Raw genomic sequence first — 26144 nt, 5'->3', positions numbered from 1 at the left:
AATATGTGAGAAAATATGTATCTGATAAAATCAAAATGTGTATCTGATAAAAGCTTAATATCCCACAACTCAACAACAGAATTTCTAAGATCCCAATTAAAAAAATAGGCAAAGGACTTGAACAGACATTTCTCCAAAGAAGATACACAAATGTCTAAGAAGGAAAAGAAAAGATGCTAAACACCATTATTCATTAATAAAATGCAAGGCAAAACCCAAATGAGAAGCCACTTTGCATCCACTAGTAAGGCTTTCATAACAACGACACAGAAAATCAATGTTGCGAAGGAGGTGGAGAAACTGGAGCCCTCATGAACTGGCTGCTAGGAATAGAAAATGATGCACTTGCTGTGGAAAACAGTTTGGTGGTTCCTCAAAGAATCACACAGAGAAACAGGCGCCGCTGGCTTGCGGGTTCTCCTGGGCTGGCGCGGGAGGTCCCGGAATCGCAGGCGCGCATTCCTTCCCGCCTGAGGGCCCGCCTGGCCGTGACTCCTGCCCCTCTCCTCCTCCGAAGAGAGATCTGGGCCGCCCCAGGGGCCGTCTGCAGCCACCGGGGATGGGGCTGAGGGTCGGTTCCTGCCCCGGTGCAGCCGCCCCTGGGCAGACCGCCTGGCTTGGTCGCAGCCACGGCGACATCTAGCCCCAGTTCTGCGAGGCTGGGCGCGCCAGCCAGCTTGGGAGTCGCCCGGCGCCTGTAGCTGGGTGCCCAGGTGGTGGAGCATGCCCTGGGCCGCCTCTGGATCGCGGGTGCCCCTGGCCTGAGAGCCTGCCAGACCCTGCCCCGGCCCGGCTCCTCCTCTGTCAGAGCTCCAGATCTCTATCCAGGGGCCCTCTGCAGCCACCGGGGATGGGGCTGAGGGCTGGTTCCCGCCCCTGTGCAGCTGCTGCAGGACAGACCGCCTGGCTTGGCTACAGCCACAGGGACATTTGGCCCTGCTTCCGAGATGTGGGGAGTGTGGGCGAGCTCGGGAGTTGCCTGGAGGCTGCTGCCTGCACGCAGAAGGCGGCTGCAGCTCGGGTGCCCAGGCGGGCTGGAAGTGCATGGCCTGGTCGGCCTTGGGATCGCCAGCGCGCCCAGCCTGAGGGCCCCCAGGCCGTGCCTCCCAACCACTCCTCCACCTGAGGGAGATCGGAGCCGTTTGTATGGGCACTCGGCAGTCACCTCGTGTGGGGTTGAGCAGTGGGTTCTCAGTTCTCGCTCCTGTGCAGCTGCTGCCGCAGAGCAGAATGCCTGGCTTGGCTGCAGCCACTGGGACACGTGGCCCTGCTTCTGTGATGCTAGGAGCACGAGCGGGCTCGGGGGTTGCCAGGCAGCTGCTGCCTGCACACAGAGGGCGACGGCAGCTTGGGCGCCCAGATGGCGGAGCATGGTTTGGATGGCCTCTGGAATGCATGCGCGCCAGGCCTGAGGGTCACCCTGGTGGGGCCACATACCCCAGTCTTCCTCTGCTGGAGCCTGGAGCAGCTGGAATGGCCACTATTCCGTCACAGGGGATAGAGTTAAGTTTTCTTATCCCACCCATGCACACAAAAAGGTGACGATTCTGTGAGGTAATAAACGTGTTAATTGACTACATTCATGCCACTCTACACCCACAAGTAAGGCTTTCATAACAATGACACAGAAAATAAATGTTGCTAAGGAGGTGGAGAAGTTGGAGCCCTCATGATTTGGCTGCTAGGAATAGAAAATGATGCCCTTGCTACGGAAAACAATTTGGTTGTTCCTCACAGAATGAGCATTGGGTGAAAAATGAAATCAAGATGGAAATGTAAAAAATTTATTCGAACTGGATGACACAACCTATCAAGACCTCTGGGATACAGCAAAGGCACTGCTAAGAGCAAAGTTTGTAGTCCTAAAAACCTACATCAAAAAGTCTGAAAGAGCACAAACAGACAATCTAAGTTCACATCTCAGGGAACTAGAGAAGCAGGAACAAGCCAAACCCAATCCCAGCAAACACAGGAAATAACAAAGATCAGAGCAGAACTAAATGAAATTGACACAACAACAACAACAACAACAACAAATACAAAACATAAATAAAAGAAAAAGTTGGTTATTTGAAAAGATAAATAAAATTGATAGACCATTAGCAAGATTAACCAAGAAAAGAAGAGAGAAAATCCAAATAACCTCACTAAGAAATGAAACAGGGGATATTACAACTGACACCACTGAAATATTAAAGATTATTCAAGGGTACTATGAACACCTTTTGGCACATAAACTACAAAACCTAGAAGAGTTGGATAAATTCCTGGAAAAATACAACTCTCCTAGCTTAAATCAGGAAGAATTAGATACCCCAAGCAGACCAATAAAGCAAGCAGCAAGATTGAAATGGTAATTTTAAAATTACCAGCAAAAAAATCTGAGGGCCAGACAGATTCACAGCAGAGTTCTACCAGACATTCAAAGAATGTCTTCTTTCATTCAAGGAAGAAATGATACCAATCTTTTCATACTATTCCACAAGACAGAGAAAGAAGAAACCCTCCCTTATTCATTCTATGAAGCCAGCATCACCCTAATACCAAAACCATGGAAGGACATAACCAAAAAAGAAAACTACAGACCAATATCCTTGATGAACGCAGATGCCAAAATCCTTAACAAAATACTATCTAACTGAATCCGACAACATATCAAAAAATAATCCACCATGATCAAGTGGGTTTTATACCAATGATATAGGAGTGGTTTCACATATGCAAGTCAATAAGTGTGATACACCAAATAAACAGAATTAAAAAAAATCTAATATGATTATATCAACAGGTGCAGAACAAACATTTGACAAAATCTAGCATTGCTTTATGATTAAAGCTCTCAGCAAAATAGGCATACAAGGGACATACCTTAATGTAATAAAAGCCATCTATGACAAACCCACAGCCAACATACTACTGAATGGGGAAACGGTGAAAGCATTCCCTTTGAGAACTGGAACAAGACGAGGAGCCTACTCTCACCACTCCTCTTCAACATAGTACTGGAAATCCTAGCCAGAGCAATCAGACAAAAGAAGGAAATAGAGGAAATCCAAATCGGTAAAGAGGAAGTCAAACTGTCACTTGTTGCTGATGATATAATCTTTTGCCTAGAAAACCCTACGGACTCCTCTAGAAACCTCCTAGAACTGATAAAAGAATTCAGCAAAGTTTCCAGATACAAGATTAATGGACACAAATCAGTAGCTCTTCCATACATCAACAGCTACCAAGCAGAGAATCACATCAAGAACTCAACCCCTTTTACAATAGCTGCGACAAACAACAACAACAAAAAAACAAAACTTAGGAATATACCTAGCAAACGAATCAAAGGACCGCTACAATGAAAATTACAAAACGCTACTGAAAGAAATCATAGATGGAGCCAAGCACGGTGGCACATGCCTATAATCTGAGCTACTCGGGAAGCTGAGGCAGGAGAATCGCTTGAACCCGGGAGGCAGAAGTTGTAGTGAGCCGAGATCACACCATTGCACTCCCACCTCAGCGACAAGAGCGAAACTCCCTCTGAAAAAAAAAAAAAAAAAAAAAAAAAAAAAAAAAACAAGAAAGAAAAGAAGTCATAGATGACACAAACAAATGGAAATGCATCCCCATGCTCATGGATGGGTAGAACCAATATTGTGAAAATTACCATTCTGTTAAAGGCAATCTACAAATTCAATGCAATCCCCATCTGAATGCCACCATCATTCTTCACAGAATTACAAAAACAATTCTAAAATTAATATGGAACCAAAAGAGAGCCATGTAACCAAACTAAGCCTAAGCAAAAAGAACCTGGAGGTATCACACTACTTGATTTCAAACTGTACAATAAGGCCATAGTTACCAAAACACCAACGTACTGGTTTAAAAATAGGAACATAGACCAATGGAACAGAAGAGAGAACCCAGAAATTAACCCAAATACTTACAGCCAACTGATCTTCGACAAAGTAAACAAAAACATAAAGTGGGGAAAGGACCCCCTTTTCAACACATGATGTTGGGATAATTGGCGAGCCACATGTAGGGGAATAAAACTGGATTCTCATCTCTCATCTTATACAAAAATCTACTCAAGATGGATTAAGAACTTAAATCTAATTCCTGAACTATAAAAATTCTAGAAGATAACACTGGATAAACCCTTCTAGACATTGACGTACGCAAGGATTTCATGACCAAGAACCCAAATTCAAATGAAATAAAAACAAAGATAAATAGCTGGGACTTAATTAAACTAAACAGCTTTTGCATGGCAAAAGGAACAGTCAGCAGAGTAAATGGACAACTCAAAGAGTGGGACCCCTGAACCTGACCCTGACCCCTGACCCTGATCTCTAACCCCTGACCCTGACCCCTAACCCCTGACCCTAACCCTAACCCTTAACCGTAACCCCTAAGCCTAACCCCTAACCACAACCCTCACCCTCACACTAATCCAACCCTAACCCCTTATCCCTAACCCCTAACCTCTCTTAACCTCTAACTCTAAACATTGACTCTTAACTCTTAACTCTGACCCCAACCCCTATCTCCAACCCCTAACCCTAAACTTAACCCCTAACCCTAACACCAACCTTAACCCTAGGTTCGTTACTACGTTTGTACTATGTCAATGTTGATTATTATGATCTCTGTCTTAGGACTGCATGGCAGCAAGGGGATTGCGGATCTTATATCAATATTTTTGTATTGAGGCAGTGCATTAGCATTACAGGTGCTTGTTACATGAGCAATGGGAGTGTCATAATTTGGGTGTCATGTCTGCATTAGGAATGCTGCATTTGTCTTCCGAGGCTGCGGTGTGGATCTCGCACTGTGGCCGCCTCGGCTTGGCTGGGGAGAACCTCGGTTGGCAGGATTCAGAGGGGCTTTTGGTTTCCCTTTTCCACACTGAGCCCTTCTAACTGGTCTCTGGCCCTGATTATTCAGGGCTGCAAAAGGGAAGGATTTTATTCACCGTCTATGCGGTCCCAAGTTGTCCCAAAGCGAGGCAGTGCCCCAAAGGTCTGTGCTGAGGAGAACGCTGCTCTGCCTTAGCGGTGTCCCCCGGGTCTGTGCTGAGCAGAACGCAGCTCCGCCCTCGCGGTGCCCCCGGCCCGCCTGGGTCTGTGCTGAGGAGAACACTGCTCCGCCTTCGCTGTATCTCTGAAGTCTGTGCAGAGGAGAACTCAGCTCTGCCCTGGCGATGCTCTCCTTGGCTGTGCTGGGAAGAACGCAGCTCCGCCCTCGCAAAGGCGCTCAGCGCCGGCAAAAGGCGCAGAGAGGCCCACAGCGCCGGGGCAGGCGCAGAGAGGCCCACAGCGCCGGCGCAGGCGCAGAGAGGCAGAAGGCCCATGAGGGGAAGGTGAGACACCTGGGGCAAAGAAGAAAAAAAAAATGCGCCGCGAAGCAGTGTCTGGGTCATCCAGGGACGAAAGTTTTTTCCCATCAGACCTTGCGCTGGGCCCCAGGGACCCTGGGATCCCTGGTTCACGCCCGGGGTGTGCCTCAGGCGACTAGGGGTACCACAACTTGGACAGAAGGCCCATGAGTGGAAGTTGAAGTTTGTGGGAGGAGAGGTGAGGCAGCAGGGGCAGAAAAAATAAAAAAAGAGGACCGCGTCTCAGAGAAGCGGGGCCTGGGTCCCCCACGGATGAAAGTGCCTTCCCATCAGGCCCTATGCTGGGCCTGGTGGACCCTGGCGACCCTGGTTCGAGCCCAGGGTGCGCCTCGGGACAGCTTGGGGTACCACAAAGCAAAGAAAAGGTCCATGAGGGGAAGGTGAGGCACCTGAGGCAGAGAAAAAAAAAATGCTCAGCCGAGAAGCAGTGCCTGGGTCCCCCACGGATGAAAGTGCCATCCCATCAGCCCCTTCGCTGGGCCCTGGGGACCCTGGCATCCCTGGTGTGACCCTGGGGTACGCCTCGGGACAGTAAGGGTACCCCAAGGTGGGCAGAAAGCCCCTAAGGGGAAGGTGAGGCACCTAGGGCAGAGAAAAAAAAAACTTCACCACGGAGAAACACGGCCTGGGTGCCCCACAGACGAAAGTGTCTTCCCATCAGTCCCTGCACTGGGACCCAGGGACCCTGTTGTCCCTCGTTCGAGCTCAGGGTGTGCCTCGGCCGCTAAGTGCACACCAAGGGGGCTTTGGGGACACAAAACCCGTGAGGGGAAGGTGAGTTTTGAGGGAGGACAGGTGAGGCACCTGTCACAGAAAAAGAAAAAAAAGAAACCCGCACCGCGGAGAGGTGGGGCCTGGGTACCCCACGGATGAAAGTGCCTTCCCATCAGCCCCTGCGCTGGGCCACGGGGAACCTAGAGTCCCTGGTTGGAGCTCAGGGAGAGTCTCGGGCCACTAGGGATACCCCAACACGGTGGAAAGCCCATGAGAGGAAGGTGAGCTGTGAGGGAGGAGAGGTGAGGCACTTGTGGCAGAAAAGAAAAAGAAACCGCGCCACGGAAAAGTGGGGCCTGGGTCTCCCATGGAAAAAATGTGCCTTCCCATCAGTCCCTGAGCTGGGCCACGTGGACCAGGCGACCCTGGTTCTAGGCCTGGGTGCACCTCGGGCCCGCTAGGTGTACCCCAAAACGGGCTGAAGGCCCATGAGGGGAAGGTGACGTTTGACGGAAGAGAGGTGAGGCACCTGCGGCAGAAAAAAAAAAACCGTGCGGAAGAGAAGCGGGGCCTGGGTCTCCCACGGACGAAAGTGCCTTCTCATCAGCCCCTGCGCTGGGCCCCCTGGACTCTGGCGACCCTAGTTCAAGGACCAGAAGAGACTCTGGCATGCTAGGGTACCCTAAGGAAGCCAGAAAGCCCATGAGGGGAAGGCGAGATTTAAGGGAGGAGAGGTGAGTCACCTGTGGCAGAAAAAAAAAAAAAAAAAATATATATATATATATATCAGCACCTCGGAGAAGCCGGGACTGGGTCCCCACTGATGAAAGTGCCTTCCCATCAGCCCCTGCGCTAGCCCCGAGAACCTGGCGACCCTGATTGGAGACCCGGGAGCGCCTCGGGCCTGCTCGTGGTACCCCAAAGCAGGCAGAAGGCCAGTGAGGGGAAGGTGAGGCACCAGGGGCGGAGAAAAAAAACCGCAGCTTTGAGAAGCGGGGCCTGGGTACCCACGGATGAAGGTACATTCCCATCAGCCCCTGCGCTAGGCCCCGGCGACCCTGGCATCCATGGTTCGAGTCCAGGGAGAGCCTTGGGCCGGAAGGGGTACCCCAAGTAGAGCAGAAAGCCCATGATGGGAAGTTGACGTTTGAGGGAGGAGAGGTGAGGAACCTGTGGCAGAAAAAAAAAAAAGAAAACAAGCCGCGCCTAGGAGAAACTGGGCCTGGGTACCCCAAGGATGAAAATGCCTTCCCATCAGTCCCTGCGCTGGGCCCTGTGGACGCTGGAGACCCCAGTTCGAGCCCCGGGTGCGCCCCGGGCCTGCTAGGGGTACCACAAGGGGGGCAGAAATCCCATGAGGGGCAGTTGAGGTTTGAGGAAGGAGAGGTGAGGCACCTGTGGCAGAAAAAAAAAAACTGCACCACGGAGAAGCGGAGCCTGGATCCCCAACGGACGAAAGTGTCTTCCCATCAGCCCTTGCGCTGGGCACAGGGGACCCTGGCATTCCTGGTACGAGACCAGGGTGCGATTCAGGCCGCTAGGGGTACCCCAAGACAGACAGAAGGCCCATGAGGGAAAGGTGAGACACCTGGGGCAGAGAACAAAATAAAAAACTGCGCCCACCAGAAGTGGGGCCTGGGTTCCCCATGGACGAACGTCCCTACCCATAAGCCCTACACTGGGCCCCGGAGACCCTAGCATCCCTGGCTCAAAACAAGGGTGCGCCTCGGGCCGGCTAGGGGTACCTCAAGGCGGGCAGAAAGCCCATGACGGGAAAGTGAGGCACATGTGGAAAAGAAAAGAAAAAAAAACGCCACAGAGAAGCAGAGCCTGGGTCCCTGAGGAAGAACGTGTCTTATCATCAGCCACTGCGCTTGACCCTGTGGAACCTGGCTTCCATGGTTCGAGCCCAGGGTGTGCCTTGGGCCGCTAGGAGTAACCCAAAGCTTGCAGAAGGCACAAGAGGGGAAGGTGAGGCACCTGGGGCAGAGAAAAAAAAAACACAGCCGCGGAGAAGCGGGGACTGGGTCCTCCAAACGGACGAAAGTGTCTTCCCATCAGGACTTGTGCTGGGCCTCAGGGACCCTGGAGTCCCTGGTTCGATCCCACAGTGCACCTCGGGCCGCTAGGTGTACCCCAAGGCAGACAGAAGCCACATGAGAGGAAGGTAAGATTTGAGGAAGGAGAGGAAAGGCATCTATCGTAGCAAAAAAAAAAAAAAACGCGCAAAGGAGAAGCAGGGCATGGGTCCCCCACAAACGAAAGTGCCTTCCCATCAGGCCCTGAGGGTTTGAAAAAGAATGAAGAGTGACTAATGTCTACAGGGTTTTTCTCTGGTCGGGGGTGATAAGACGTTCTACAGTGGATTGCGAATTAAAATTGAATGTGCACAACCACAGGTATACTAAAAGCCACTCAATTCATGACTTTTAATGGGGGAATCTTATGTGGCGCACTCTCATGGAGACCACGGCAGACATAGTGAGAGAGAAAAAGGTGAGTAAATATCTGAAACGGAGGCAGAAACAGAGAGAATGAAAAGCCCTGTGAATGGAAGGGAGAGCGAAAAGGGAAAATGGTCCTATTTACAAATGACAGATGTGAAACTGGGGTTCACATCAACAGTGTCACTGCCAGGAAGGAGGGTGATGCTAGCCATGTCACCGGTAGTGTGTCCCGCAGGGATGCCGACCTGCTCGAGCGTCGTGCCAGCATGGGCTCTGGCAGCCACGTGGGCCAGCAGGAGAGTCCCGCTGCACAGCTGCGGGGTGAGGATAGACTGGGTGGTGATATCGGCCATGACAGGGGCCTCTTTTGCTGGCAAGAGTGTGACAGTAGCAAGTAGATGGACAGGCCTGCGTGTGAGGACGGAATGCAGGAGGGGCTCTTGTGCGGCTGCGTGTGGGGCCCTCACGGGAACCATGGAGTAATGGCCAGGTAACTGCGTCATGTGGGCTAGTAGATTGGCCAGGGATTCGAACTGAAGGACAATAACGGGGAGTAGCTGTCAGGCCCTGGGAGTGTCTGAGTGTAAGTGGAGATGGGTTTGGGGTCACTGAGGGATGCGTGGGAGCCATCCCTGTATAGGTACAGGTCATAGGGAGATAGTCTCGTGGGGCCTGTGAGTGTCTAGGGTTGTCCTGGGTGCCTGGGGCTGACTGTGGCAGAAATCTGGGGAAGGCTGGAGAGAAGTTGGGAGACCCAGGAGAGTCCCTGAAGGCAGGGGGTGAAGAGGTGAAAGAAATGGTGGAGGGTTGCAGTAAGGTCCGTGAGTTTGTATGTGATTCCTGGGTGCGGGAAGCTGACTCCACGTGAAATCTGGAGATGGTTGGAGAGTAGCTGAGAGAGACAGAAGAGTCCCTGAGGGCTGGGGATGAGAACATGAGGGAGACTGGGGAGTAAGTCAGTGAAATTCGTGAGTTCGGTGGTGTATCGTGGGTGCCTGGAACTGACTCCAGCTGGAATCTAGAGAAGTTTTGAGAGTAGCTGAAAGAGACACGAGAGTCCCTGTGGGCTGAGGGCAAAGACCTGAGAGAGACCAGGGAGGACCTCAGTGAAGTCTGTGAGTCCGTAGGTGATTCTGGAGTGTGGGAGGCTGACTCCCGCTGAAATCTGGGCGTGGTGGGAGAGTAGCTGGGACAGACAGGAGAGTCCCAGGGGGCTGGGGGTGAAGACATGAGAGAGACTGGGAAGTAACTCAGTGAAACTGCTGAGTTTGTAGGTGATACCTGGGTGCCTGGAACTGACTCCCGCTGAAATCTGGGCATGGTTGGAGAATAGCTGGGACCCACAGGAGAGTCCCTGAGGGCTGGGGGTGAAGACATGAGAGAGACCGGGGAGTAACTGCGTGAAACTGATGAGTTTGGTGGTGACTCCGGGGTGCCTGGAACTGACTCCAGCTGAAATGTGGGCATGGCTGGAGAGTAGCTGGGACAGACAGGAGAGTCCCCGAGGGCTGGTGAAGACATGACAGAGACTGGAGAGTAATTGAGTGAAATTGGTGAGTTTGGTGGTGATTCCTGGGTGCCTGGAACTGACTCCCGCTGAAGTGTGGGCGTGGTTGGAGAGTAGCTGGGACACACAGGAGAGTCCCTGAGGGTTGGAGATAAAGACCTGCTAGAGACTGAGGAGTAACTGAGTGAAATTGGTGAGTTTGGTGGTGATTCCGGGGTGCCTGGAACCAACCCCAGCTGTAATGTGGGCGTGGTTGGAGAGTAGCTGGGACAGACGGGAGAGTCCCTGAGGGATGGTGAAGACATGAGGGAGACTGGGGAGTAACGCAGTGAAATTGGTGAGTTTGGTGGTGATTTCTGGGTGCCTGCAACGGACTCCAGCTGAAGTGTGGGCGTGTTTGGAGAGTAGCTGGGACAGACTGGAGGGTCCGTAAGGGCTGGGGGTGAAGACGTGAGAGAGACTGGCCAGGATCTCCCTGAGGTCTGTGAGTTTGTAGGTGTTTCTGGGAGGTGGGGTACAGACTCCCGCTGAAACCTGGGCGTGGTTGGAGAGGAGCTGGGACAGACAGGAGAGTCATGGGTGGCTGGGGGTGAGCTGCTGGATGATGGCAGTAAGAACATATGGTATATTATTGATGAATGACGTGACTGTGATGAATCTCCAGAGGAGGGCAAGGGAGAAGACAATGACATGAGTGACTGTCCTGCTTGGTTAGGAAAGGGAGACATAAAGCTGTGGAATTCTGTTGATGATGGATGTGAGAGTGGTGAAGCCATGCGGGATGATGTAGAGTACTTCCACATCCCTGGTGAGGAGCTGCCCCTTGGGTCTGAGTTTCTGGGAGGGGAGAGGGAGAAGCTGGGTGAGGCAGGCATGAATCTTGAGGAGTCAGGGCTGGGGGACCGCTCATATTCTCCCGAGACCTGTGAGTCTCTGGGGGACTCCTGGGTGCATGGGGCTGACTCCCGCAGGAACCTGGGGATGGCTGGAGAGTAACTGGGAGCCACAGGAGAGTCCCTGAGGCCTGGGGGTGAAGAGATGAAAGACACAGGGGTGGAGCACCGTGAGGCTCGTGAGTTTGTAGGTGATTCCTGGGTGTGGGGGGCTGACTCCAGCTGAAATCTGGGGTTGTTTGGAGAGTAGCTGGGAGACACAGGAGACCCCCCGAGAGCTGGGGGTGAGCTGCTGGGTGATGGCAGTAAGAACATGTGGTATACTATTGATGAACGTGGGGACTCTGAGGAAACCTCAGAGGAGGACACAGGAGAGCCCGATGGCTTCATTGATTGCCCATCACGGTGAGGACAGGGAAATGGGAGCTTGTGGGATTCTGGTGATGACAGAGGTGAGTGTGGTGAAGCCCTAGGGGATGGTGAATGGTAGCTCCGGATCTCTGGTGAGGAGCTTCCCCTTAAGACTGAGTTTCTGAGAGGGGAGAGGGAGAAGCTGGGTGAGGCTCGCATGGACCTTGGGGAGTCCGGGCTGGGGGACCGTTCATAAGAAGAGCCAGACAAGACCCTACTGTTCTTAGGTTCAGACATGATTAGGAAACCTGCAGCTCCCAGGGGCCCCTACTAATTTTCCAACTCGCAGAAGGAAGGAGTGTGTGTGCGTGTGTGTGAGTGTGTGCGTGTGTGTGTGTGTGTGTGTCTGTGTGTGTGCGGTGTGAGGTATGTGCCCCTTAAGAAAATGGAAATCAACCAACCAATGAGACAGACACACAGACAGACAGACAGACAGACAGACAGACAGAGATTCACTTGCCCAAGTGTTCTGTCCTGTCCTCTGAATCCGCCTCCAAGTCGCAAGACGCCGTGAGCTCCAAGTCCACGCAGAGTCCGCCAAAGGCTCCGGCCGCTGACCCGCTCCGCCAAGATCTGAGTGCAGGCCAGCCAGGGTGGGTTTAAATAGCCTCGGGCGCAACCTAGCAGCGGAAAGGGCGGAGCTTCACTCCTCCTTTCCGTCAGTCACCCCCAACTTTCCCAGGCTACACCTCGTAGGAAACTGTTCTCCTACTTTGATTTCATGCGCCAACTTTGGGACAATCTAAGAACTTCCAAGTTTTCTTGGCCAGATATATTAGGAATTGTATGCACTGAAACACTGAAAACCAACTAGTGGTTCTGTGGTTCCCACGTTGTGGTTTTGACGCCAGCAGCATCCTTGCCACAATCAAACCCCGGAGATCCACAGATCTGTGTTGTAACAAGACCTCCCCCTGACCCTGATGCATGGCAGTTTAAGAAGTCTTTCCGTGTAAGCAAAAAGACTTTGAAGAAAAGGTGGAGATATGCGTTGTATAAACATTCTTTTGCTCTGGAACCACGTGGAGACTTGGCAGCCAGTTGGGTGGAGCATTCGTTGGATGAGGGTGCTCGGGTTCGGAATATCAAGGTGTGGCTCCAGATAATCCAATCATCTAATTAAGATTCCAGTTGTGCTCATCTGTTTTAAAATTCCGTTTGGGTAAATTCTTTTAGTCAGACTGAGAATGGCAAAACCTCAACCCCAATTTCCAGGGAGGGTTGAGAGCCTCAGGTGGAGTTGATCACCAATAGCCTATGGTTTAACCCATCATGCCTATAGAATGAGGTCTCCATAAAAACCCAAAAGGAATGGGTTCAGAGAGCTTCTGGATAACACTTCCTGGAAGGTACTGCGCCCCTCCCCACATGCCGGGCCCCACATTTATTTCTGAACTTTTTGCAATGTCCGCTAAAATACAACGGCAAATGTAAGTGTTTCCCTGAGTGCTGTGAGCTCTTCCAGCAAATGAATGCAACTAAATCTGGGAGTGGTGGCAACCTGATTTATAGCCAGTTGCTGAGAAGCACAGGTAAAACAACGTAGGCCTTCCCGTTGTTATTAGTGTGGGAGGCCTGCCTGGCGGGACTCGGCCCTTTGGAATCTAATGCTATGTCCCGGTAGATAGCGTCGCCATTGAATTAGAAGACACACATATGTTGAGAATAATCTTTCTGGTCATTTGCTGCATGTCTTATTTACAATATGTAATCAAATTCTTTATCCTGACCTTATGGCACCTGGGTTGAGAACCATGATTTGAACCAAACATTGGTCTGTCACTTTCTGAGTTTGAAACTTTATTTTCCCTTTAGCGTTTTGCTATTGCTTTTTCGTTTTCTTTTGTTTCGTTTCGTTTCTAAGTTCTGGGGTATATGTGCAGGATGGGCAGATTTGTTACTAAGGTAAACGTTTGCCATGGTGGTTTGCTGCACCTGTCAACCCATCACCTAGGTATTATGCCCAGCATGCAGTAGCTGTTTTCCTTAACGCTCCACCTCCCGAAAGGCCCCAGTGTGTGTTGTTCCCCTTCCTGTGTCCATGTGATCTCATTCTTCAGCTCCCATTATAAGTGAGAATGTGGCGTTTGGGTTTCTTTCCCTGGATTAGTTTGCTGAGGATAATGACCACACATCACCACTGTTTTTGTTTTGTAGTATAAAGAGTAGCATTTTATTGAATAAGATTTGCTCACAGAAAAATAAACTTAAATCTACAATGAATGCCAGACTCTACAGCAGAAAGCAATTTTCTCACTTTTCCACACACAATGGTTCCTACTAAGTGAAAAAAAGCCATAAAATTTCATTCACAAATGTACTAATTTTTCTCAAAACATCTCACATAATCATGCAGTGTACTAAAGCCATTAGATCAGTGCTTCAGTCAGGTTAAAGAAGTATCCCTCTAATAATTGACTTTTATAATGCTATCAATGTCCGCTCCCAATCAGTCTGCCATTGTTAATGGTGTACAGCATTACTGTATACAATGGAATTGATGACACCCATATCCACGGACAAACCGTGACTTATGATGGTTTGATTCATGATTTTTCAACGTTATGATGGGTTTATTGGAATATTAGATGCGTTTCTGAGTTACACCGGTTTATGAGTATGCGACCCTATACCCCAGAAACAGCTGTATAAGGAAAAACAGGTGTACCTAATAAAAATATGCTTAGTGACTTGCGATAAACCAATAGATGTTCACAACTGATGGAGAGCCGTGAAAGAGAGATAGCGGTAAATAGTTACAATAACACAATTTTCCTGCACCTGTCGAGGATTTCCCCCAAAAAACGCAGAATGTGGGATGCACCTAAGGCATATGAAAGAGAGAGGGCAGAAGGAGTAAGAGAGAAATAGGAGGAAGGAAGGAAGGAAGGAAAGAAGGAAGGTAGGAAGGAAGGAAGGAAGGAAAGAAGGAAGGAAGGAAGGAAGGAAAGAAGGACGAACGGAAGGAGAAAACACCCGGTGTTACTAAAACCCCCCAAAAATATGGTTTCCCCCTGTGGGTAAGCCTACAATGTGGATCAATCTTGAAAATATTGTGCTACGTGTTATGTCAGTCATAACAGCTCACCTATTGTGCAATTCCGTTTATAGGAAATGTCCACAATATGGAAATCTATGCATATGGGGTTGATCGCACTAGGTAGTTGCTACCTAGGGCTGAGGGTCAGGGAGAGGGTTTGAGACAGAATGAGGAGTGACTAATGTCTACAGGGTTTTTCTCTGGTCGGGGGTGATAAGACGTTCTACAATGGATTGTGAATTAAAATTGAATGTGCACAACCACAGGTATACTAAAAGCCACTCAATTCATGACTTTTAATGGGGGAATCTTATGTGGCGCACTCTCATGGAGACCACGGCAGACATAGTGAGAGAGAAAAAGGTGAGTAAATATCTGAAACGGAGGCAGACACAGAGAGAATGAAAAGCCCTGTGAATGGAAGGGAGAGCGAAAAGGGAAAATGGTCCTATTTACAAATGACAGATGTGAAACTGGGGTTCACATCAACAGTGTCACTGCCAGGAAGGAGGGTGATGCTAGCCATGTCACCGGTAGTGTGTCCCGCAGGGACGCCGACCTGCTGGAGCGTCGTGCCAGCATGGGCTCTGACAGCCACGTGGGCCAGCAGGAGGGTCCCGCTGCACAGCTGCGGGGTGAGGATAGACTGGGTGGTGATATCGGCCATGATAGGGGCCTTTTCTGCTGGCAAGAGTGTGACAGTAGCAAGTAGATGGACAGGCCTGCGTGTGAGGACGGAATGCAGGAGGGGCTCTTGTGCGGCTGGGTGTGGGGCCCTCACGGGAACCGTGGAGTGATGGCCAGGTAACTGCGTCATGTGGGCTAGTAGACTGGCCAGGGCTTCGAACTGAAGGACAATAACGGGGAGTAGCTGTCAGGCCCTGGGAGTGTCTGAGTGTAAGTGGAGATGGGTTTGGGGTCACTGAGGGATGCGTGGGAGCCATCCCTGTATAGGTACAGGTCATAGGGAGATAGTCTCGTGTGGCCTGTGAGTGTCTAGGGTTGTCCTGGGTGCCTGGGGCTGACTGTGGCAGAAATCTGGGGAAGGCTGGAGAGAAGCTGGGAGACCCAGGAGAGTCCCTGAAGGCAGGGGGTGAAGAGGTGAAGGAAATGGTGGAGGGTGGCAGTAAGGTCCGTGAGTTTGTAGGTGATTCCTGGGTGCGGGAAGCTGACTCCACGTGAAATCTGGAGATGGTTGGAGAGTAGCTGAGAGAGACAGAAGAGTCCCTGAGGGCTGGGGGTGAGAACATGAGGGAGACTGGGGAGTCAGTCAGTGAAATTCGTGAGTTCGGTGGTGTATCGTGGGTGCCTGGAACTGACTCCAGCTGGAATCTAGAGAAGTTTTGAGAGTAGCTGAAAGAGACACAAGAGTCCCTGTGGGCTGAGGGCAAAGACCTGAGAGAGACCAGGGAGGACCTCAGTGAAGTCTGTGAGTCCGTAGGTGATTCTGGAGTGTGGGAGGCTGACTCCCGCTGAAATCTGGGCGTGGTGGGGGAGTAGCTGGGACAGACAGGAGAGTCCCAGGGGGCTGGGGGTGAAGACATGAGAGAGACTGGGAAGTAACTCAGTGAAACTGCTGAGTTTGTAGGTGATACCTGGGTGCCTGGAACTGACTCCCGCTGAAATCTGGGCATGGTTGGAGAGTAGCTGGGACACACAGGAGAGTCCCTGAGGGCTGGGGGTGAAGACATGAGAGAGACTGGGGAGTAACTGAGTGAAACTGGTGAGTTTGGTGGTGACTCCGGGGTGCCTGGAACTGACTCCAGCTGAAATGTGGGCATGGTTGGAGAGTAGCTGGGACAGACAGGAGAGTCCCTGAGGGCTGGTGAAGACATGAGAGAGACTGGAGAGTAATTGAGTGAAATTGGTGAGTTTGGTGGTGATTCCTGGGTGCCTGGAACTGACTCCCGCTGAAGTGTGGGCGTGGTTGGAGAGTAGCTGGGACACACAGGAGAGTCCCTGAGGGTTGGAGATAAAGACGTGCTAGAGACTGAGGAGTAACTGAGTGAAATTGGTGAGTTTGGTGGTGATTCCTGGGTGCCTGGAACTGACTCCAGCTGCAATGTCGGCATGGTTGGAGAGTAGCTGGGACAGACGGGAGAGTCCCTGAGGGATGGTGAAGACATGAGAGAGACTGGGGAGTAACGCAGTGAAATTGGTGAGTTTGGTGGTGATTTCTGGGTGCCTGCAACGGACTCCCGCTGAAGTGTGGGCGTGTTTGGAGAGTAGCTGGGACAGACAGGCGAGTCCCTGAGAGTTGGAGATAAAGACGTGCTAGAGACTGGGGAGTAACTCAGTGAAAGTGGTGGGCTTGGCGGTGATGCCTGGGTTCCTGGAACTGTCCCGCGCTGAAATGTGGGCGTGGTTGGAGAGTAGCTGGGACAGACTGGAGGGTCCGTAAGGGCTGGGGGTGAAGACGTGAGAGAGACTGGCCAGGATCTCCCTGAGGTCTGTGAGTTTGTAGGTGTTTCTGGGGTGTGGGGTACAGACTCCCGCTGAAATGTGGGCGTGGTTGGAGAGTAGCTGGGACAGACAGGAGAGTCATGGGTGGCTGGGGGTGAGCTGCTGGATGATGGCAGTAAGAACATATGGTATATTATTGATGAATGAGGTGACTGTGAAGAATCTCCAAAGGAGGACACGGGAGAACACAATGACATGAGTGACTGTCCTGCTTGGTTAGGAAAGGGAAACGTAAAGCTGTGGAATTCTGTTGATGATGGATGTGAGAGTGGTGAAGCCATGCGGGATGATGTAGAGTACTTCCACATCCCTGGTGAGGAGCTGCCCCTTGGGTCTGAGTTTCTGGGAGGGGAGAGGGAGAAGCTGGGTGAGGCAGGCATGAATCTTGAGGAGTCAGGGCTGGGGGACCGCTCATATTCTCCCGAGACCTGTGAGTCTCTGGGGGACTCCTGGGTGCATGGGGCTGACTCCCGCAGGAACCTGGGGATGGCTGGAGAGTAACTGGGAGCCACAGGAGAGTCCCTGAGGCCTGGGGGTGAAGAGATGAAAGACACAGGGGTGGAGCACCGTGAGGCTCGTGAGTTTGTAGGTGATTCCTGGGTGTGGGGGGCTGACTCCAGCTGAAATCTGGGGTTGTTTGGAGAGTAGCTGGGAGACACAGGAGACCCCCCGAGAGCTGGGGGTGAGCTGCTGGGTGATGGCAGTAAGAACATGTGGTATATTATTGATGAACCTGGGGACTCTGAGGAATCCTCAGAGGAGGACACAGGAGAGCCCGATGGCTTCATTGATTGCCCATCACGGTGAGGACAGGGAAATGGGAGCTTGTGGGATTCTGGTGATGACAGAGGTGAGTGTGGTGAAGCCCTAGGGGATGGTGAATGGTAGCTCCGGATCCCTGGTGAGGAGCTTCCCCTTAAGCCTGAGTTTCTGAGAGGGGAGAGGGAGAAGCTGGGTGAGGCTCGCATGGAACTTGGGGAGTCCAGGCTGGGGGACCGTTCATAAGAAGAGCCAGACAACACCCTACTGTTCTTAGGTGCAGACATGATTAGGAAACCTGCAGCTCCCAGGGGCCCCTACTAATTCTCTAACTCGCAGAAGGAAGGAGTGTGTGTGCGTGTGTGTGAGTGTGTGCGTGTGTGTGCGTGTGTGTGTGTCTGTGTGTGTGCGGTGTGAGGTATGTGCCCCTTAAGAAAATGGAAATCAACCAACCAATGAGACAGACACACAGACAGACAGACAGACAGAGAGACAGACAGAGATTCACTTGCCCAAGTGTTCTGTCCTGTCCTCTGAATCCGCTTCCAAGTCGCAAGACGCCGTGAGCTCCAAGTCCACGCAGAGTCCGCCAAAGGCTCCGGCCGCTGATCCGCTCCGCGAAGATCTGAGTACAGGCCAGCCAGGGTGGGTTTAAATAGCCTCGGGCGCAGCCTAGCAACGGAAAGTGCGGAGCTTCACTCCTCCTTTCCGTCAGTCACCCCCAACTTTCCCAGGCTACACCTCGTAGGAAACTGTTCTCCTACTTTGATTTCATGCGCCAACTTTGGGACAATCTAAGAACTTCCAAGTTTTCTTGGCCAGATATATTAGGAATTGTATGCACTGAAACACTGAGAACCAACTAGTGGTTCTGTGGTTCCCACGTTGTGGTTTTGACACCAGCAGCATCCTTGCCACCATCAAACCCCGGAGATCCACAGATCTGTGTTGTAACAAGACCTCCCCCTGACCCTGATGCATGGCAGTTTAAGAAGTCTTTCCGTGTAAGCGAAAAGACTTTGAAGAAAAGGTGGAGATATGCGTTGTATAAGCATTCTTTTCCTCTGGAAACACGTGGAGACTTGGCAGCCAGTTGGGTGGAGCATTCGTTGGATGAGGGTGCTCGGGTTCGGAATATCAAGTTGTGGCTCCAGATAATCCAATCATCTAATTAAGATTCCAGTTGTGCTCATCTGTTTTAAAATTCCGTTTGGGTAAATTATTTTAGTCAGACTGAGAATGGCAAAGCCTCAACCCCAATTACCAGGGAGGGTTGAGAGCCTCAGGTGGAGCTGATCACCAATAGCCTATGGTTTAACCCATCATGCCTATAGAATGAGGTCTCCATAAAAACCCAAAAGGACTGGGTTCAGAGAGCTTCTGGATAACACATCCTGGAAGGTAGTACGCCCCTCTCCACATGCCGGGCCCCACATTCATTTCTGAACTTTTTGCAATGTCCGCTAAAATACAACGGCAAATGTAAGTGTTTCCCTGAGTGCTGTGAGCTCTTCCAGCAAATGAATGCAACTAAATCTGGGAGTGGTGGAAACCTGATTTATAGCCAGTTGCTGAGAAGCCCAGGTAAAACAACGTAGGGCTCCCCGTTGTTATTAGTGTGGGAGGCCTTTCTGGCGGGACTCGGCCCTTTGGAATCTAATGCTATGTCCCGATAGATAGCGTCACCATTGAATTAGAAGACACACATATGTTGAGAATAATCTTTCTGGTCCATGCGAGCCTCACCCAGCTTCTCCCTCTCCCCTCTCAGAAACTCAGGCTTAAGGGGAAGCTCCTCACCAGGGATCCGGAGCTACCATTCACCATCCCCTAGGGCTTCACCACACTCACCTCTGTCATCACCAGAATCCCACAAGCTCCCATTTCCCTGTCCTCACCGTGATGGGCAATCAATGAAGCCATCGGGCTCTCCTGTGTCCTCCTCTGAGGATTCCTCAGAGTCCCCAGGTTCATCAATAATATACCACATGTTCTTACTGCCATCACCCAGCAGCTCACCCCCAGCTCTCGGGGGGTCTCCTGTGTCTCCCAGCTACTCTCCAAACAACCCCAGATTTCAGCTGGAGTCAGCCCCCCACACCCAGGAATCACCTACAAACTCACGAGCCTCACGGTGCTCCACCCCTGTGTCTTTCATCTCTTCACCCCCAGGCCTCAGGGACTCTCCTGTGGCTCCCAGTTACTCTCCAGCCATCCCCAGGTTCCTGCGGGAGTCAGCCCCATGCGCCCAGGAGTCCCCCAGAGACTCACAGGTCTCGGGAGAATATGAGCGGTCCCCCAGCCCTGACTCCTCAAGATTCATGCCTGCCTCACCCAGCTTCTCCCTCTCCCCTCCCAGAAACTCAGACCCAAGGGGCAGCTCCTCACCAGGGATGTGGAAGTACTCTACATCATCCCGCATGGCTTCACCACTCCCACATCCATCATCAACAGAATTCCACAGCTTTACGTTTCCCTTTCCTAACCAAGCAGGACAGTCACTCTTATCATTGGGTTCTCCCGTGTCCTCCTCTGGAGATTCTTCACAGTCACCTCATTCATCAATAATATACCATATGTTCTTACTGCCATCATCCAGCAGCTCACCCCCAGCCACCCATGACTCTCCTGTCTGTCCTAGCTACTCTCCAACCACGCCCACATTTCAGCGGGAGTCTGTACCCCACACCCCAGAAACACCTACAAACTCACAGACCTCAGGGAGATCCTGGACAGTCTCTCTCACGTCTTCACCCCCAGCCCTTACGGACCCTCCAGTCTGTCCCAGCTACTCTCCAACCACGCCCACATTTCAGTGCGGGACAGTTCCAGGAACCCAGGGATCACCGCCAAGCCCACCACTTTCACTGAGTTACTCCCCAGTCTCTAGCACGTCTTTATCTCCAACCCTCAGGGACTCGCCTGTCTGTCCCAGCTACTCTCCAAGCACGCCCACACTTCAGCGGGAGTCCGTTGCAGGCACCCAGAAATCACCACCAAACTCACCAATTTCACTGCGTTACTCCCCAGTCTCTCTCATGTCTTCACCATCCCTCAGGGACTCTCCCATCTGTCCCAGCTACTCTCCAACCACGCCCACATTGCAGCTGGAGTCAGTTCCAGGTACCCCGGAATCACCACCACACTCACCAATTTCACTCAGTTACTCCTCAGTCTCTAGGACGTCTTTATCTCCAACCCTCAGGGACTCTCCTGTGTGTCCCAGCTACTCTCCAACCACGCCCACACTTCAGCGGGAGTCAGTTCCAGGCACCCAGGAATCACCACCAAACTCACCAATTTCACTCAATTACTCTCCAGTCTCTCTCATGTCTTCACCAGCCCTCAGGGACTGGCCTGTCTGTCCCAGCTACTCTCCAAGCACGCCCACACTTCAGCGGGAGTCCGTTGAAGGCACCCAGAAATCACCACCAAACTCACCAGTTTCACTCAGTTACTCCCCAGTCTCTCTCATGTCTTCACCATCCCTCAGGGACTCTCCCGTCTGTCCCAGCTACTCTCCAACCTCGCCCACATTTCAGCTGGAGTGAGTTCCAGGCACCCCGGAATCACCACCAAACTCACCAGTTTCACTCAGTTACTCCCCGGTCTATCTCATGTCTTCACCCCCAGCCCTCAGGGACTCTCCTGTGTGTCCCAGCTACTCTCCAACCATGCCCAGATTTCAGCGGGAGTCAGTTCCAGGCACCCAGGTATCACCTACAAACTCAGCAGTTTCACTGAGTTACTCCCCAGTCTCTCTCATGTCTTCACCCCCAGCACCCTGGGACTCTCCTGTCTGTCCCAGCTACTCCCCCACCACGCCCAGATTTCAGCGGGAGTCAGCCTCCCACACTCCAGAATCACCTACGGACTCACAGACTTCACTGAGGTCCTCCCTGGTCTCTCTCAGGTCTTTGCCCTCAGCCCACAGGGACTCTTGTGTCTCTTTCAGCTACTCTCAAAACTTCTCTAGATTCCAGCTGGAGTCAGTTCCAGGCACCCACGATACACCACCGAACTCACGAATTTCACTGACTTACTCCCCAGTCTCCCTCATGTTCTCACCCCCAGCCCTCAGGGACTCTTCTGTCTCTCTCAGCTACTCTCCACCCATCTCCAGATTTCACCTGGAGTCAGCTTCCCGCACCCAGGAATCACCTACAAACTCACGGACCTTACTGCAACCCTCCACCATTTCTTTCACCTCTTCACCCCCTGCCTTCAGGGACTCTCCTGGGTCTCCCAGCTTCTCTCCAGCCTTCCCCAGATTTCTGCCACAGTCAGCCCCAGGCACCCAGGACAACCCTAGACACTCACAGGCCACACGAGACTATCTCCCTATGACCTGTACCTATACAGGGATGGCTCCCACGCATCCCTCAGTGACCCCAAACCCATCTCCACTTACACTCAGACACTCCCAGGGCCTGACAGCTACTCCCCGTTATTGTCCTTCAGTTCGAAGCCCTGGCCAGTCTACTAGCCCACATGACGCAGTTACCTGGCCATCACTCCACGGTTCCCGTGAGGGCCCCACACCCAGCCGCACAAGAGCCGCTCCTGCATTCCGTCCTCACACGCAGGCCTGTCCATCTACTTGCTACTGTCACACTCTTGCCAGCAGAAGAGGCCCCTGTCATGGCCGATATCACCACCCAGTCTATCCTCACCCCACAGCTGTGCAGCGGGACCCCAAGAATCATTACTTCTTAAAATACAATTCAAATTAGCATGAAACATTTGCAGTTTAAGGAAAGGCTTATAGCATCAGAATCCTTAATCATAGATTTCATTATTTTGTGTTTTTTTTTTTTGAGATAGGGTCTTTGTCTGTCATCCAGGCAGAAGTGCAGTGATAATAATTCACTGCAGCCCTGAACTCTGGGTACAAGCCATCCTTTTGCCTCAGTATCCCAACTAGCTGGGTCTACAGGCATGAGCCACCATGCCCAGGTAATTAAAAAATTTTTTTTTTTTGTAGAGATGGGGGTCTCACTATGTTGCTCTGGCTGATCTCAAATTCCTGGCCTCAAGTGATCTTTCTGCCACAGCTTTTTAAAGTGCTAGGATTACAGGCATGAGCCACCATGCCTAATATAGAGTGTAATATCACTTTCAAAGTCTTATTCCTAGACCCATTTATTGACTTTGGCCTAAATAACTCAATATGATATCTCTGAAACTTTTTTTGACATTCTGTGGGGAATGATAATGAAGGAAGGGGGTTAGACACTTTTTACTAGGGGATAACTTTGTGCCATTTAAGGAGGAACACAAATGAATTATCAGAAAAATAAAAGTAAAATGAAGTACAAAAATTCTGTGGCAAAGATGATGATAGTAAATAATATATTTTATGACTCATGGTAGCTTTAACTTTGTTCTTAAAATTCTGAGTAATTTAAGGGTTCACATTTGAAGAATCTGCTGCATTACAGATAACATTTTATTGCAAGTAAATGCATTTCAAAATTTGCTATTGGTTTTGTATTAGATTATTCTCAGCCTACTTCATTATCAAGCTATACTATTTTATTCATGCAGTTTGATGATCTTATGGCGGAGAAGGAAGCTGTATCTTCAAAATGTGTCAATTTGGCTAAAGAGAATCAAGTTTTTCAACAGGAGTTATTAGCTATGAAAAAAGTACAACAGGAAGGTGAAAAACTTGAGGAGGATAAAAAGATGTTGGAAGAAGAAATATTAAATCTTAAGACACATATGGAAAACAGTATGGTAGAACTTAGTAAACTACAAGAATATAAATCAGAGCTAGATGAAAGGGCAATGCAGGCAGTAGAAAAATTAGAAGAAATCCATTTACAGGTCAGTTGTTTAAATCAGGTAAGTTTACTTGTAATGTGCTTTCATTTATTTCACTGCAAATTATATTTTGGAGATTATATATATATATATATATAGTGTTTCCTCTGCCTCTCTTGTAGCAATCTGCTTTGTAGAGTTCTAGAAAAAAATGGTATCTGTTTTTTCTTTTAAATATTTAAATTTCCATTATTAGTATAACAAAATCTATCTTTCAGAGTAATGATTCTCATTATGGAGTCATTTGATGATTAAGACCAGTTGGCATAGGAAAAAATTGTGATTTAGAAATTATGTGATAATTATGAATTGGTCTTAAGCTACAGTGTTCATTGATCACTTTTTAAAACTATGAATGGATTCTATTACTTTTTATATGACCAGATTACATTAATACAAATCAGACTTAATTCTGAATTCAGTTATTAGTTTTGATATTGCTGAAATATTTTAAACTTCATCCTCTTTTTTAACATATTCAAAAATACTCTTTGAATCACTGACTCAAAATGAAAGGCAACAAACATAATAATTAGGTTATAATTGTTTTAAAAGTGTATTCTTTTCCTCTGTTTTAGGAACAAGCACAATATAAAAAACAATTAGAGCAGTTAAACAAGGATATAATACAGCTTCACTAAATAAGAAGGAACTCACACTTAAAGATGTGGAATGTAAATTCTACAAAATGAAAACTGCTTATGAAGAGGTTACAACTGAGTTAGAAGAATATAAGGAAGCCTTTGCAGCAGCATTGAAAGCTAACAGTTCCATGTCAAAAAAATTAACTAAATCAAAACATACACTCATAGAAAATGAATTAAGCTCATTAATTTGTTTCAAAAGCATAATTTTTAGTGAGATGGCTTCAGGAGATTAGAAGGAAGTGAATGCTAATTTGACAATGTAATTTTGAAAAATAATGTTAGTAAATAATTTTACCTTTAAAATGTTAGTCAAAGATAGTTTTTTCTCTCCTCTCATTTTTTTTTTGCTTCTGTATGGCTTCCTGAAAAGTCTCATGTAATTAACCTGATCTGTTAGTTTTTTTCACTAAGTATTTTTGAAGCTTTATAATTAATGAAGTGATCTTGTTATAAAATTACTTGTCAGAATTTCCCTAAATAGAAATATTAATGTGTTTAATTTACTTTTCAGTGGATCACAACCTAAATGCAAAGTGGTACTGCTACTCTGGGCACAATTGTTTTTGATTGTGATCTTTAGTATTATCACCAGTGGGTGCCTCAAGGAAGACTATTTGTGTAACATATTCAAGATGTTACAGAAAGGCACCCTTGTGAAATAGGGAATAATTATCACAGGAATTTAAAGAAGTGTAATTCACAAAGCGGTTAAAAAATAACACCTTGTTCAGCCTGAAGGAGTGTGTGGAAGGCAGAAAGAACATGCCCCCACATCCAGGGCCTTGGTCACAGTGTTGGGGGTTAATTGCCTTCAGAGATGCTTTAGTTCTTTTTGATCACCAACCAGACATTCTAGTTCTCCCCTAGGAGTTGTTGCTCTGAATTATTCCTCAGTGCCAAATGTTTAATTGGTCCTAGACAATGGGTGAAATGTACAAGAGTGAAATCTAAAACTGGTTTACTAAACACAAGTATTCCTAGATTTTTTTTCGTTCATTTTAGTTTTCTTAACCTACATTAAGGAGTACAACATGATGTTTTGATATAATTATTTCTAGTGAAGTGGTTCTTATAATCAAGCAAATCAACAGATTCATTTTCCCACATTATTACCCTTTAAATACAAGTATTTCTAATGGAATCTTCAGAATCTTACAAGTAGAGCCATTTTAGAAGGCAGGAAGTTTTACGTGTTGAGCCATACATCACTGATAGCCATTTCTCTTCCCTGTCTACTTTGTTTGAACTGCTTGTTCAGTAGAAATCACCTTAGAAACAATGGTGCTTCTTTAGAACGATTTTAAAATTATAATTCCTTACAACAGGTATGCTCTTACACATCTTCTGTGTGAAAACACTATTTAGTGGGTAATTTGGTTTACTCTCAGGGTAAGTTTTTAAAAACTGCAAGTCATTAAGAATCATTTAAGGAAAAAGGAAATATTAAGCATTTGTCTTTGCTATCTTTACAGATCGAATAAGAAAATAACAATGATCAGTATCAGCTCTTTATGGAGAAAGAGCAGGTGAAATATTTTCTCAGCACTCTTCCTACAAGGCGAGGTCGAGAGTCACCTTGTGTTGAAAATCTTACTAGTATAGGACTCAACAGAAAATATATTCCCCAAATGCCCGTAAGAATTCCTACTTCAAACCTCAGACTTCAAATAACTGCCAGAACTACTTGACTGATGTTAGTTATATGACCATTTCTCTTTAGGGTTTCATTTCTCTAGCGTAATTCTTGTTTATAATTTGGTGAAATACTGAGTTGTTCTGTTGACTTTTGCATGTGAAGTAAAGATCATAATTAGCTGTGTTAACACAGAAAGGAAATGGGAACGTTACATTTTTTAATTCCCTGGAGCTCTCATTTTCAAGAGATATCCATTTGCTAACTTTATTCAATAAATGTGACTAAACTGACACGTTTGAAATGTCTTTAAAAGCTGCATTTAAGTTAGGTTTTAGAAATTGCATGTTATTGCCTGATAACTGATGATATACTTTGAGATGCTTTGGCTTACTCTCTAATTGATTGT

At 49.0% G+C, this 26144-nt stretch overlaps 1 long non-coding RNA gene and 1 pseudogene across 1 annotated transcript; one reads left to right on the top strand and one right to left on the bottom strand.

Annotated features, from left to right (window-relative positions):
• Positions 1 to 314: 314 nt before the first annotated feature.
• LOC107987396 (uncharacterized) lies at positions 315 to 9059 on the bottom strand (annotated as a pseudogene).
• A 13897-nt stretch (positions 9060 to 22956) lies between these two features.
• LOC107984150 (uncharacterized) lies at positions 22957 to 24231 on the top strand. The gene is made up of 2 exons (XR_001756161.2): positions 22957 to 23458; positions 24034 to 24231. It is a non-coding gene; the product is annotated as an uncharacterized LOC107984150 (long non-coding RNA).
• Positions 24232 to 26144: the final 1913 nt, after the last annotated feature.

This window comes from Homo sapiens, unplaced genomic scaffold (assembly GCF_000001405.40).
Source record: "Homo sapiens unplaced genomic scaffold, GRCh38.p14 Primary Assembly HSCHRUN_RANDOM_CTG20".
Classification (NCBI taxonomy): Eukaryota; Metazoa; Chordata; class Mammalia; order Primates; family Hominidae; genus Homo; species Homo sapiens.
This window is presented reverse-complemented; position numbering and strand designations above follow the sequence as displayed.